This window comes from Homo sapiens, chromosome 20 (assembly GCF_000001405.40).
Source record: "Homo sapiens chromosome 20, GRCh38.p14 Primary Assembly".
Classification (NCBI taxonomy): Eukaryota; Metazoa; Chordata; class Mammalia; order Primates; family Hominidae; genus Homo; species Homo sapiens.
Genome location: NC_000020.11, coordinates 3438728 through 3453139, shown reverse-complemented (window position 1 = coordinate 3453139; position 14412 = coordinate 3438728).

Here is a 14412-nt window from a genome sequence, read left to right as displayed (position 1 = left end):
AGCTACAGCCTTCTGGAGCATTGATATGGACTCTGGGAAGAAGCAGGTATGTCTCTTTCTAAGGTTATGAGCTACATGTAAGAAAATTGTGGTAGGTGTATGTTAATTTTACTCTCTAACATGTATTTCACCCCTGATAACACTACACCCATTGTGCAGGAAAGGGGAGGGAGCTACCTTCCTCTCATTCTCAGTTCCTCTACTTTGAGTGGAGGTGAATTCTCTTTGAGCCCATAGTTAGGCATGTAACCCGCATCTGATTAGTCATGTTCCCGTGACCACAGAGACTGTTTGGCATAGCCCTGCGTCCCAATGAGAGCCATTGAAATATGGGATTGTTAAGAGAGAGAAAAACTCTTTTTCCCTGGACTAAGAGCATCAAGGATGAGAAGAACCTAGGGCCGCTGGAAGGTAGCATGAGGGACTGTTCTGAGAATGAAGCCAACAAACACAGCAGCAGGCAGGCTCCTAATGGAGGGAGTGAAATAAGCCCAAGTGGTTGACATTGCTGGAGCTCTTAGCTTAAGCTCCCCTACAAGCCAACCCTATCCTAGATTACACCTCTTTGATTATACAGGCTAGTAAGTTCTCTTATTTTGTTTGTTTAAGCTAATTTACAATGAATTTTGTAACACTCACAACCCAAACAGTTCTGATAGACGGCAATGATGGCAAGTCTGAAGCTGCTGGAAAATACATTACTGCCATGTGGAGAGACTCTGGGTGACAATAAAGCCTACTCATAAAAAGGAAAGAATTAGAACCAAGAGAGGAAGAGAGAGCAAGCAATAGCTGTGAGCAGTGTCCAAGAACAAGGATCCTGCTGTTTCTGAAGCATACTGCTCCCTTGGGTTCTCATTCAATTATGGAACCAACAAATCCACTCCCCACCACCTTTTTTTGTTTGTTTTTTAACTTTAAAAGGGTAAGAGTTAAGCTTTATCATTCCTAAAGGAAAGAGCTTTGACAGCCACAATACCCTTTTTGTTTTCTCGTCTTTCCTTTGAGTCATCTTATTTTCTCCCTACTGAGTTGGAGGTACTCTATATATTCTGGACACTGATTTTTCTTTTTCCTTTTCTTTTTTTGACACAGGGTCTTGCTCGATTGCCCAGGCTGGAGTGTTGCCCAGGCTGGAGTGCAGTGACATGAACACAGCTCACTGCAGTCTCCATCTCCCAGGCTCAAGCAATCCTCCTGCCTCAGCTTCTTGAGTAGTGGGAATTACAGCACACACCATCATTTTTAAATTTTTAAATTTTTATAGATATGGGGTCTCCCTGTGTTGCCCAGGCTGGTCTCAGACTCCTGGGTTCAAGTGATCTTCCCACCTTGGCCTCCCAAAGTGCTAACATTATAGGTGTGAGCCAGTATGCCTGGCCCAGACATTGATCTTTTGTCCATTGTTTGCTGTAATTTCTTCCACTCCATCTCATACCTTTGACTCTGTTTATTGCTATTTCTCACGTTGAGAAGGCTGTAATTTTATGTGGTCTAAATTGACAAGCTAACCAGCATCATTTTTGGATTTATCAGATGTGGTTCTTTGGGCTGAAGGTGATGGAAACCCAACTCAATCTGATTCGAAGAAAAAGACAATTTTTGGTAACAAAATTGAGAATTCTGGAGTTATTTAGTATTAAGCCACAACCAGAATCATAATTCCAACCATATCATTAGAGCTATTTCTCACTGGGTGTGGTGGCTCACACCTGTAATCACAGCACTTTGGGAGGCCGAGGCAGGAGGATCATTTGAGGTCAGGAGTTTGAGACCAGCCTGAGCAACAGAGTGAGACACTGTCTCTACAAAAAAAAAAAAAAAATTATCTGGGCATGGTGGGTCTTGTCTATAGTCCCAGCAACTTGGGAGGAAGATCGCTTAAGCCCGGGAGTTTGAGGCTACAGTGAACTATGATTGGCCACTGCACTGCAGCCTGGGCAACAGAGCAAGACTGTCTCTAAATAAATAAATAAATAAATATGAAAAACAGGGCTGGGTGCGGTGGCTCACACCTGTAATCCCAACACTTTGGGAGGCCGAGGTGGGTGGATCACGAGGTCAGGAGATCAAGACCATCCTGGCCAACATGGTGAAACCTCGTCTCTACTAAAAATACAAAAATTAGCTGGTGTGGTGGCGGATGCCTGTAGTCCCAGCTACTCAGGAGGCTGAGGCAGGAGAATCACTTGAACCCGGGAGGCAGAGGTTGCAGTGAGCCAAGATCGTGCCACTGCACTCCAGCCTGGCGACAGAGCAAGACTCCATCTCAAAAAAAAAGAAAAAAAGAAAAACAGAACTATTTCTCTCTGAATCTCTCAGTTCTCTGGGCTTCTTTTCTGTTGAAGTTCCCTTCACCTTGTTGGAAATATGGCCCATATTCTTATAGTTCATGATTTCAAAGGAAGGGAGAGAGACTGTCATGACAGACTGGGTGTAGGAATTCCAGAAGAGTCTTTGAACCAGGTTGGGCACTCTGACTGATGTGTATCGTATATCCATTCCTGTGTCTGGATGAGGCATTTCAAACTACTCAAGCTGCTCCACACAAGACAGAAGAGTTTTGTCATGGAAGAATGGAAGAAGAAAAAGCCTGTAAGTATTGAACAGCTGCCATATTCATCTCAACCTTTCGTGTCTCACTTATGAAAACTTTCCTCCCTCTGAATTTTAATTTTTAATCCTCCAACATATTTGCTTTTAGAATTTTTGATATTTTCATTTTAGATCTATATTTCGCCTAGAATTTATTTTTATTGATGGTATGAGGTAGAAACCTAACTTAATTCTTTTCCAATATATAAAACCTGTTGTCCCCAAACCATATATTGAGTACTCTCTTCTTCCCAACAGTTGGAAATGCTGCATTCATTAAAGCTAAATTCTACATTTCTGTGGGTCTGTTTCTTGATTATGCAGTTTGCTCCATTGATCTGTTCTTCTATGCATGTAACAATTCCCTGTTGTTTAAATATTGGTTAACTTCTCTTTTTTTTGGAGATGGAGTCTCGCTTGCTCTGTCACCCAGGCTGGAGTGCAGTGGTGCGATCTCGGCTCACTGAAACCTCCTCCTCCCGGGTTCAAGCCATTCTCCTGCCTCAGCTTCCTGAGTAGCTAAGATTACAGGCACATGCCACCATGACTGGCTAATTTTTGTATTTTTTTTTTAATAGAGACAGGGTTTCACCATGTTGGTCAGGCTGGTCTCGAACTCCTGACCTCGAGTGATCTGCCTGCCTTGGCCTCCCAAAGTGCTGGGATTATCGGTTAACTTCATTGGGAAGCCCTGCTTTTTACTTGATCCTAAACTTCTAACTGGTATGTTTTGATTCTCTCTGGTCTTGTGTTCCATTAATCTGATTCTGCCAATTTTTCTTTATTTTTTCAATAATTTTAAAATTGATTTCTAATTGTTAATTCTTACCAAAGCAACAAATGAAAATGGTTTAAAAAGTAAAATAGTGCTGTGAAGCTCAAACTGAAAAGCAACCCGTCTGGGCAACAAAGTGAGATGCTGTCTCTACAAAAGAATGACAAATTAGCCAGGCATGGTGGCACCCACCTGTGGTCCCAGCTATTCAGCAGGCTGAGGCAGGAGGATTCCTTGAGCCCAGGAGGCTGGGGCTGCAGTAAGCCCTGGTCATGCCACTGCATTCTAGCCTGGACAATAGAGCAGGAGCCTATTAGAAAGAAAAAGAAAGGAAGGAAGGAAGGGACAAGGATGGGAGGGAAGGGGAGGGGAAGGAAGAAAAGAAAAACTCCATTTCCCAATCCCACCCAAGGTGAGTGCTAAAATTATTTCTCCTTGCATTTACATCCATAGTTCCAAGGAACATGCTTATAGTGCCAATTTTTTTTTTTTTGAGACAGAGTTTTGCTCTTGTCACCCACGCCTGGCCTATAGTGCCAATTCTTGACTTTTAAATACATTAACAAATTGGCTGGGTGCAGTGGCTTATGTCTGTAATCCCAGCACTTTGGGAGGCTGAGGTGGGTGGATCACTTGAGGTCAGGAGTTCAAGACCAGCCTGGCCAACATGGTGAAACCCTGTCTCTACTAAAAATACAAAAATCAGCTTGGCATGGTGGCATGCGCCTATAATCTCAGGTACTCGGGAGGCTGAGGCGGGAGAATCGTTTGAACTCGGGAGACAGATGTTGCAGTGAACCGAGATCGCACCACTGCACTCCAGCCTGGGCGACAGAGCGAGACTCCATGTCAAAAAATAAAAATAAAAATAAAATAAATAGATAAGTAATAAATTAACAAATCGATTAGACAAAAGCAAACAACTCAATAGAAAAATGAGTAGGTATTCTGGATACAAGTCCTTTCTCAGACACATATATGGCAAATATCTTCCACTCTCTGGCTTACCTCTTCATTCAATGTCATCTTCTGGTGGACATAAGTTTTTAATTTTCAGGGCCAGGTGCAGTGGCTTACACCGTAATCCTAGCACTTTGAGAGGCTGAGGCAGGCGGATTGCTTGAGCCCAGGAGCTCAAGATCAGCCTGGGCAACATGAGAACCTTTCTCTTAAAAAAAAAAAAAAAAAAAAAGGCCGGGCACGGTGGCTCACACCTGTAACCTAGCACATTGGGAGGTCGAGGTGGGCAGATCACCTGAGGCTGAGGTCGGGAATTCGAGACCAGACTGACCAACGTGGAGAAAGCCCGTCTCTACTAAAAATACAAAATTAGCTGGGCGTGGTGGCGCATGCCTATAATCCCAGCTATTCGGGAGGCTGAGGCGGGAGAATTGCTTGAACCTGGGAGGTGGAGGTTGCGGTGAGCCAAGATCATGCCATTGCACTCCAGCCTGGGGGAAAGAGCCAAACTCAAAAAAAAAAATTCTTAATTTTTATGTCCTTGAATTTATTGTTTCCTTTATAGTTAGTGGTTTTTGTGACCTGTTTAAGAAATATTTGTCAGGCCAGGCACCGTGGCTCACACGTGTAATCCCAGCACTTTGGGAGGCCTAGGCAGGCAGATCACTTGAGGTCAGGAATTCGAGACCAGCCTGTCCAACATGGCGAAACCCCGTCTCTACTAAAAATACAAAATTTAGCCAGGTGTGGTGGTGCACCTCTGTAATCCCTGCTACTCGGGAGACTGAGGCAGGAGAATCGCTTGAACCCGGGAGGCAGAGGTTGCAGTGAGCCAAGATCGTGCCACTGTACTCTAACCTGGGTGACAGAGAGAGACTCCATCTAAAAAAAAAAAAAAATTGTCTACTCTTTGACAGTGAAACATTTTTCCTACATTTTTTTCTCTGAACATTTCATTGTTTGCCCTTAATATTTAGATGTTATAGTGTGTATGGTATGAGAAAGAAGTCAATTTTCATTTCTCCATATGGATACTAGTGCTGATAATTTACCTTTCCATTTTCTGCTTGTGAACACTGGGACTGGGGCCTGTGAATTATGTTTCTCAGCCTTCCTTGTTGATCGTTTCCCATTAGGCTCTCCAAGAAGAGATACATGGGCAGGAGATCAGAAGGCAGCAGAAAGAAGTCTTTCTTCTTTTTCCTTTCTTCTCAGTCTTTCCTTCTTCCTCTTTGAAGTGGAGGCCCCTCCTTCAAAGTTGAAGCTCTGGCAACATGTTCCTCCTCCCTGGGCCCAGCTCCTTTCTCTGCACTCTTAGATTCTGGTGGCACCACCTCCCCTACATTTGTTCCCTAAATGCTAGAAGAGACTGGAGTTACTTTTCTCTGGGTTACCTCATCTTCTTTTTGATCTTTCAGATTTCCATCACCTGTCTAACCACTTCTCTATACCAACTTTTCTGTTTCAGCACCATTTAACCGAAAAGGCTCTCCTTTCCCTGCTGCTCTGCAGAGCCATCTTTGTCATAAATTGTTTAAATATGGTCTAGTTTTCTATCTTAACACCAATACCATACTGTCTTGAGTACTAACTTTTAAAAATTTATTTTATTACTATTATTTTTTTAAGACAGGGTGTCGCTCTGTCACCCAGGCTGGAGTGCAGTGGCGTGATCACCACTCACTGCAGCCTCCACCTCCCAGGCTCACGTGATCCTCCCACCTCAACCTTCCTAATCACTGGGACCACAGGCACTCACCACCTTGCCCAGCTAATTTTTGTGGTTTTTTTTTTTTTTCTTTTTCGTAGAGATAGGGTTTCGCTGTTTTGTCCAGGCTGGCCTCAAATTCCTGGGCTTGAGCGATTCTTCCTCCTTGGCCTCCCAAAGAGCTGCAATTACATACATGAGCCACCACACCCAGGTTCTAACTTTTTAGTAAGTCTTGGTATCTGGTAGAACGAGTCCTCCCACCTTGAGCCAATATCACGCTCCATTACTGTAGTGATTAAGGAAATGCTTTTTTCTCTATTACCCGAAGGAGTCTGTGTAAGACTGAAATTATTTATTCCTTAAATGTTAATATGACTTGCCAGTAAAGCCATGTGAGCCTTAAATTTTCTTTGAAGAGAAGTTTTAAATTATGAATTCAGGTACTTTAAAAGTTAGAGGAGTTTTTCAAGTTTTCTATTTTTTCTTGTATCATTTTTGTATTTTCCCTAGGATTTCCACCTTAATTTTTAAATTGATTGATATAAAATGTGTCCATAATATCCTCTTTTTAGTTTTTAGAATTTATAGGATCAGAAGTGATGCCTCTGTTATATTCCTGAGACTGTTCTCTTTTTTCTTGATCAGGATCACAAAAGGTTTATCAATTTCATTAGTCTTTTCAGAGAACCAATGTGTGGCTTCATTAATCCTCTCTTTTGTATGCTTGTTTTCTAGTTAATTAATTTTTTCCAGGTGGAAGCTGGGGCTGTGGAGAAAACACACACACACCACTCAAAGTAGAGAGAAAATGGCTTTCCCCCCTCTACCTGCTAGTTTTCTGAGAATGCCCCTATCGGCTGAACCAAAGTCTAGGACATGTAGCTCCCTGTATTTCAGAGTAGAAAAGAGAAAGGAAGAAAAGAATAGGCAGAAAGAAAGAATGGCAAACAACAAGCCTGTAGATCTATTTTGTCAGTTTCTGCAAGAAATATGTTAAAATGTCTCACCATGATCATAGACACATCTATTTCTACTTCTAGTTCTGTTGATTTAGCATTTTATTTTGAGGACGATATTAGTAGGTGCCTACAAATTTAGAATTATTACATCTTCCTGGAAAATTGCCTTTTTTCTGAGACGGAGTCTTTCACTGTCACCTAGGCTGGAGTGCAGTGGTGTGATCTCGGCTCACAGAGTGCAACCTCTGCCTCCTGGGTTCAAACAATTCTTGTGCCTCAGCCTCCTGAGTAGCTGAGCTTACGAGTATGTTCTACCACACCCGGCTAACTTTCATATTTTTAGCAGAGACAGGGTTTCGCCATGTGGGCCAGGCTGGTTTTGAACTCCTGGCCTCAAGTGATCCACCTGCCTCCCAAAATGCTGGGATTACAGGTGTGAGCCACTACACCCAGCCAAAATGACATTTTATCATTGTGAATTATGAGTCTTATATTTGTCTCAGTTCTTCTTTTTCTTTTTTAATATATAGAGACCGTGTCTCGCTATGTTGCCCAGGTAGGTCTCAAACTCCTGGCCTCAAGTGATCTTCCTGCCTCAGCCTCCCAAAGTGCTGGGATTACAGGTGTGAGTCACTGTGCTCGGCCTGTCTCAGCTTTTCTAACACCTATTCCTCTCCTTTCTTTCCTTCTGACTGATTAATATAGTTCATTATTCCATTTTTTGTTTCTGCTAATTTGAATGTTAAACAATCTTTTTCTAGTAATTTAGCAGTGACCCTCAAAATCATAATGTTTATCATTGCCTCATCCAGTCTAATGTGAATTGATCCATTAACCCTCCTCCTGGGCAATGCAAGGACCTTAGAACACTTTTAAGTCCTTTTACACACACCTGACATATGGCCATTGTTGCACATATGCATGTAGTTTTTTGTTGTTTTTTTTTTGAGACTGAGTTTTGCTCTGTCACCAGGCTGAAGTGCAGTGGCGTGATCTCAGTTCACTGCTGCAATCTCCAACTGCATGGTTCAAGCAATTCTCCTGCCTCAGCCTCCCGAGTAGCTGGGATTACAGACACACACCACCACGCCCAGCAAACTTTTGTATTTTTTTTAGTAGAGACAGGGTTTCACCATGTTGGCCAGGATGGTCTTGATCTCCTGACCTCATGATCCGCCCGCCTCAGCCTCCCAAAGTGCTGGGATTACAGGCATGAGCCACCACACCCTGCCTACATATGGTTTTTATCCAACAAAACATCATGACTATCATTTTAAATGACCAATGTACATTAATATTTACCCACATTTTACACTTATATTTACCCACATATGTTCCATTTTGTTACTCATTATTTCTTTCTGCATCTCTGGTCTTCTATATTAGAGTCATTTTCTTTCTACCAGAAACACACCTCTTATACTTTCATTTAGTTATGGTCTATAGATGACAAAGTATTTGTTTCTGAATTCTATTTCTTATTTTTTAGAGACCGAGTCTCGCTCTGTCGCCCAAGCTGAAGTCCATTGGCACAATCAGGGCTCACTGCAGCCTCCAACTCCTGGGCTGAAACAATCCTCCAACCTCAGCCTCCCAAGTAGCTAAGAATACAGGCATGTGCTACCACACCTGGCTAATTTTTTGTTTTGTTTTGAGATGGAGTCTCGCTTTATTGCCCAGGCTGGTCTCAAACTCCTGACCTCAAGGGTTCCTCTCACCTTGGCCTCCCAAAGCACTGGGATTACAGGCATGAACCACACCCAGCATTCATTGAGCTTTAAACTTCAGTTATTCCAGTTTTTATTTACTAGAAACTCTAATAACTGAATAACTTCAGTTATTCTAGTAAACTAATATTTACTAGAAAATTATTAGTTATTCTAGTAAATATAATACTATATTACTAGTAAATATAATATATATTATATTTAATATGATGTTGAATATACTAATATAACACTATAAATATTACTATTATAATAGTACTATTATATTACTAGTAAATATAATATTTAGTAGTTATTCTAGTAAATTCTAAAATTTACTAGAATAACTTATTAGAATAACTTCAGTTATTCTAGGTTTTATTTACTAGAAACTTTAATTGATATTTTTCTAAAACTTGTTGGTCAACTTTTAGCATTTGCTATCTCTTATAGATATTTTTCAGGCTTTTCATTTATTTCTTTAAATATTTTAAGTGTACTTTTTATAATCTGTCTGACAATTCTAATATCCTAAGCCTGTGTGAATCTGTTTCTAGAGTTGGTTGTTTCTGCTGTTTCTTTCTCATGTTATCTTATTTTCTTGTTTATTATCTTTGACCTCCTGCTGGTCATCACCCTTGAAAATGTATTTTAGGTGCTCCCTAAGGCCCAGAATGGATATATCAAGTTCCAGAGAGACCTTCTATTTTGCTTCTGTTTCATCACTCAATGACTTCCTCAAACTAAGTTCACAGCTGTCCCCTCCAGGTAGCACAGACTGTTCCAGGTACAAGTCAGGACTGATCAGTAGCCACAAATTCTCAAAGACAGATTTTTTGTTTGTTTGTTTCTCCTATCTTTTTTTCTCTTTGTTCAGGACCAAGACGGCCTTCTCCAAACTCCCCTGGGGTAGTGGAAGGGAACAAGTTTGGTTCTGATTTACCTTTATCCTGAGAGTATAGGCCTTTGTGGGGGGTCCCAGCTTGATTTGAACAGGGTCTTTGAGTCTACCCACCTTAAACAAGCCCTAAGCCTCTAAAAATTTTTTTTTTTTTTTTGAGACAGAGTTTCGCTCCTGTTGCTCCATCTGGGCTCACTGCAACCTCCACCTCCTGAGTTCAAGCAATTTTCCTGCCTCAGCCTCCCAAGTAGCTGGGATTATAGGCGACCATCACCACACCCAGCTAATTTTTCTATTTTTAGTAGAGACGGGGTTTCACCATGTTGGCCAGGCTGGTCTCAAACTCCTGACCTCAGGTGATCCACCCGCCTTGGCCTCCCAAAGTGCTGGGATTGCAGGTGTGAGCCACCGTGCCCAGCCTAAGTCTCTACTTTCATCCATTTGCCCTGTCTCCCAACACCACTGAACAAAAGCCCAACTATGCAGTATTAGCAAGACAGAAGCAGCTTTGGTAATCTGATATTACGCTCAAAACAGAAAAATTTGACCTCAGTATTTCCCCTTACGTTTTTAGCTCAATGTTTTTAGGGATATAAATAGATAGATACAGTTTGATAGATAAATGGAGAACTAGAGACAAATAGATACAGATACTTAAGCATTTTTAAATAGTTTCATTATAAAATTGATTCAATTACCTCATCTTTTCTACCAGATATGGAAGTCTTATTTTTTGATTTTTTATTCTTAAATATTATCTGACTCCTTACCATATAAACTTAATTTGCACTATCTTGTTCCCTATCACGTGGACACATTCACATACTGACGTAATTTTACTCCTACAATCACACTCCCAGCAAATAATAGTTATAATATATATTATTATGCTGGTATTTAGCATTTGTGTTATTATCATTATGCAAACATAGTTCACAGCCAGGGCTGCCCTAATGTAGAAGTCCAGGGTGACTTCTGGGGCTAAGCAGTATGTGACCTAAGCAGTGACAGGTTGCCCTGTTCAAGGCTGAGGCAAGTAGGTGACTGTAATTTCTCCCAGGTTGTGGGGGGATTGCTTCAGGGTTCCTGATGGGCAGTCTGATGCCATTGTGTTTCCTGATTGTTTTTATGTGACCTACTTTTTTTCTTCTCTAGAAGCTCATACAATCCATTGTTTCTAATATTCTGAAATTTTATGTGTTGTGCCACTAACTGTTTATGTGAAGAAACATTTTATTTTGGAATAATTTAAGATTTACAGCCAGGCATGGTGGTTCACACCTATAACCCCAGCACTTTGGGAGGCCAAGATGGGAGGATCACTTGAGCCCAGGAATTCAAGACTAGCCTGGGCAACATAGTGAGACTCTGTCTCTACAAAAAAAAAAAATTCGCCAGGTGTGGTAGCACATGCCTGTAGTCCCACCTAGTTGGGAAGCTGAGGCAGGAGGATCACGTGAGTCCAGGAGATGGAGGCTGCAGTGAGCTATGATGGCACCACTGCACTCCAGCCTGGGTGACAGAGTGAGATACTGCCTCTATTTAAAAAAAAAAATTGAGTGCTGCAGGAGGATCCCTTAAGCCCAGGAGTCCCAGACCAGTCTGATCAACATGGTGAAACCTCGTCTCTACAAAAAAAATTTTTTAAATTAGCCAGGCTGGAGTGCAGTGGCGTGATCTCAGCTACAACCTCCACCTCCCAGCCGCCTGCCTTGGCCCCCCAAAGTGCCGAGATTGCAGCCTCTGCCCGGCCGCTACCCCATCTGGGAAGTGAGGTGCGTATCTGCCTGGCCGCCCATCGTCTGGGATGTGAGGAGCCCCTCTGCCTGGCTGCCCAGTCTGGAAAGTGAGGAGCGTCTCTGCCCGGCCGCCATCCCACATAGGAAGTGAGGAGCGCCTCTTCCCGGCCGCCATCCCATCTGGGAAGTGAGGAGCGTCTCTGCCCGGCCGCCCATCGTCTGAGATGTGGGGAGCGCCTCTGCCCCGCCGCCCCGTCTGGGAGGTGAGGAGCGTCTCTGCCCGGCCGCCCCGTCTGAGAAGTGAGGAGACCCTCCGCCTGGCTGCCACCCTGTCTGGGAAGTGAGGAGCGTCTCCGCCCGGCAGCCACCCCGTCCGGAAGGGAGGTGGGGGGTCAGCCCCCCGCCCGGCCAGCCGCCCCGGCCAGCCACCCCGTCCGGGAGGTGAGGGGCGCCTCTGCCCGGCCGCCCCTACTGGGAAGTGAGGAGCCCCTCTGCCCGGCCAGCCGCCCCGTCCGGGAGGGAGGTGGGGGAGTCAGCCCCCCGCCAGGCGAGACGCCCCGTCCGGGAGGGAGGTGGGGGGGGTCAGCCCCCCGCGCGGCCAGCTGCTCAGTCCGGGAGGGAGGTGGGGGGGTCAGCCCCCCGCCCGGCCAGCCGCCCCGTCCGGGAGGGAGGTGGGGGGTCAGCCCCCCGCGCGGCCAGCTGCTCAGTCCGGGAGGGAGGTGGGGGGGTCAGCCCCCCGCCCGGCCAGCCGCCCCGTCCGGGAGGTGAGGGGCGCCTCTGCCCAGCCGCCCCTACTGGGAAGTGAGGACCCCCTCTGCCCGGCCACCACCCCGTCTGGGAGGTGTACCCAACAGCTCATTGAGAACGGGCCATGATGACAATGGCGGTTTTGTGGAATAGAAAAGGGGGAAAGGTGGGGAAAAGATTGAGAAATCGGATGGTTGCCGTGTCTGTGTAGAAAGAAGTAGACATGGGAGACTTTTCATTTTGTTCTGTACTAGGAAAAATTCTTCTGCCTTGGGATCCTGTTGATCTATGACCTTACCCCCAACCCCGTGCTCTCTGAAACATGTGCTGTGTCCACTCAGGGTTAAATGGATTAAGGGCGGTGCAAGATGTGCTTTGTTAAACAGATGCTTGAAGGCAGCATGCTGGTTAAGAGTCATCACCATTCCCTAATCTCAAGTACCCAGGGACACACACACTCTGCCTAGGAAAACCAGAGACCTTTGTTCACTTGTTTATCTGCTGACCTTCCCTCCGCTATTGTCCTGTGACCCTGCCAAATCCCCCTCTGTGAGAAACACCCAAGAATGATCAATTAAAAAAAAAAAAAAAAAGAAACCATTATGATCCATCATGTGGACTCTGCAGTGGTATCTTAACTGGACTGTTTGCTTTCTTTTTGCCTTCCCAGAATCCCCTAGAATGAAAGCTCCGTGAGGGCAAGGGCTTTAACTGTCTTACTCATCTCTGTGTCCACAGTGCCCAGAACACTATCTGGTACAGAGTGGATACTCATTAAATATTTGTCATATGTATAAAGATTGAATGAATCACTTCTTTAGTTGGAATTTATAACATAAATCAGATTATGCTCTTTCTTGCTGTGACATAATAAAAAAATACGTATTTGGTAAAAAAAAAAAAAAAAAAAATTACAGAGAAGTTGCAAAGATAATATAGAGAATTCCTATATACCCCTCACCTAGTTTTCCCTAATGTTAACATATGAGATTACCATGGTATATTTGTGAAAATTAAAAAACCAATATTGGTATGTTACTATTCACTAAACTCCAGACCTCATTCAAATTTCATCAGTTTTTCTACTCATGCCCCTTTTCTGTTCCAAGATCCAATCCAGGACACCATATTGCATTTATTCATCCTGTCCCTTTAGTCTCCTCTGGTCTGTGATAGTTTCCCAGTCTTGTTTTGTTTTCATAGCCCTGACGGTTTTGAGGAGTACTATCCAGCATTTTGTAGAATGTTTCTCAGTTTGCATTTGTCTGGTATGTTTCTCAGGACTAGACTGGGCTTATGGGATTTCGAGAAGAATAGCACAAGTAATATACTCTTATTACTGATAATGTTAACCATGATCACTTGGTTAAGGTGGTATTTCCAGGTTTCTCCATCACACAGTTACCATTTTTCCCACTTCCATATTCTGTTATTTGGAAGTGAGCCACAAAGTCCAGCCTACCCTCAAAGGGGTTGGGGAGAAGAAGTAAACTTCTTTTTGCAAGGTGGAGAGCATAGCTACTTATGTTATTTGAAATTCTTCTATAAGGAAATTTGTCCCTTTTCTGTCATTTATTTTTCAATCATTTTCTCTCTGTAAATATGGCCTCATCTATACTTATTTACACTTTGGGTTACAATCCAATACCACATTATTTATTTTGGTTCCCAAATTGGTCTGGCTTTGGCCATTGGAAACTCCTCAGAGTTGGCTGTGGTATCCCTCTGACTTTTTTTTTTTCTTGAGTACTTCCTTGCCTTCTGGTCTATCAGGTGCTCTGGGCTCATCTTGCATTTTCCTTGCCTTGAAATAGCTTCAGTCATTTTTTCAAGAAGCCCTGGTTTTTTAAAATCAGAGAATGGTATTTAGAAACCATTCTTGGTTTAGAAACCAAGATCTGGGCACTGGATGTGCTTGTTTTATTGGGTGTCACTGCTCTTGGATCTCTTAGCAGAGGGTTAGAATAATATGTATGTGTATACTAATCCATTTAGACACACATTTATTTCTAAAGTTATTTCTGTATTTACTCATCTGTGGGTGTGTGTATATGCACACACACACACATAAATATGAATTCATACTAATTTCTGTGTGTGCGTATGTGTGTGTGTGTGTGTGTGTGTGTGTATGTATTTTGAGACAGAGTCACACTCTGTCGCCAGGCTGGAATGCAATGGCACAATCATAGCTCACTGCAGCCTCAAACTCCTGGGCTAAATCAGTCCTCCTGCCTAAACCTCCCAAGTAGCTAGGACTACAGGTACATGCCACAATGCCTAGCTAATGTTTTAAATTTTTTGTAGAGATGGGGTCTC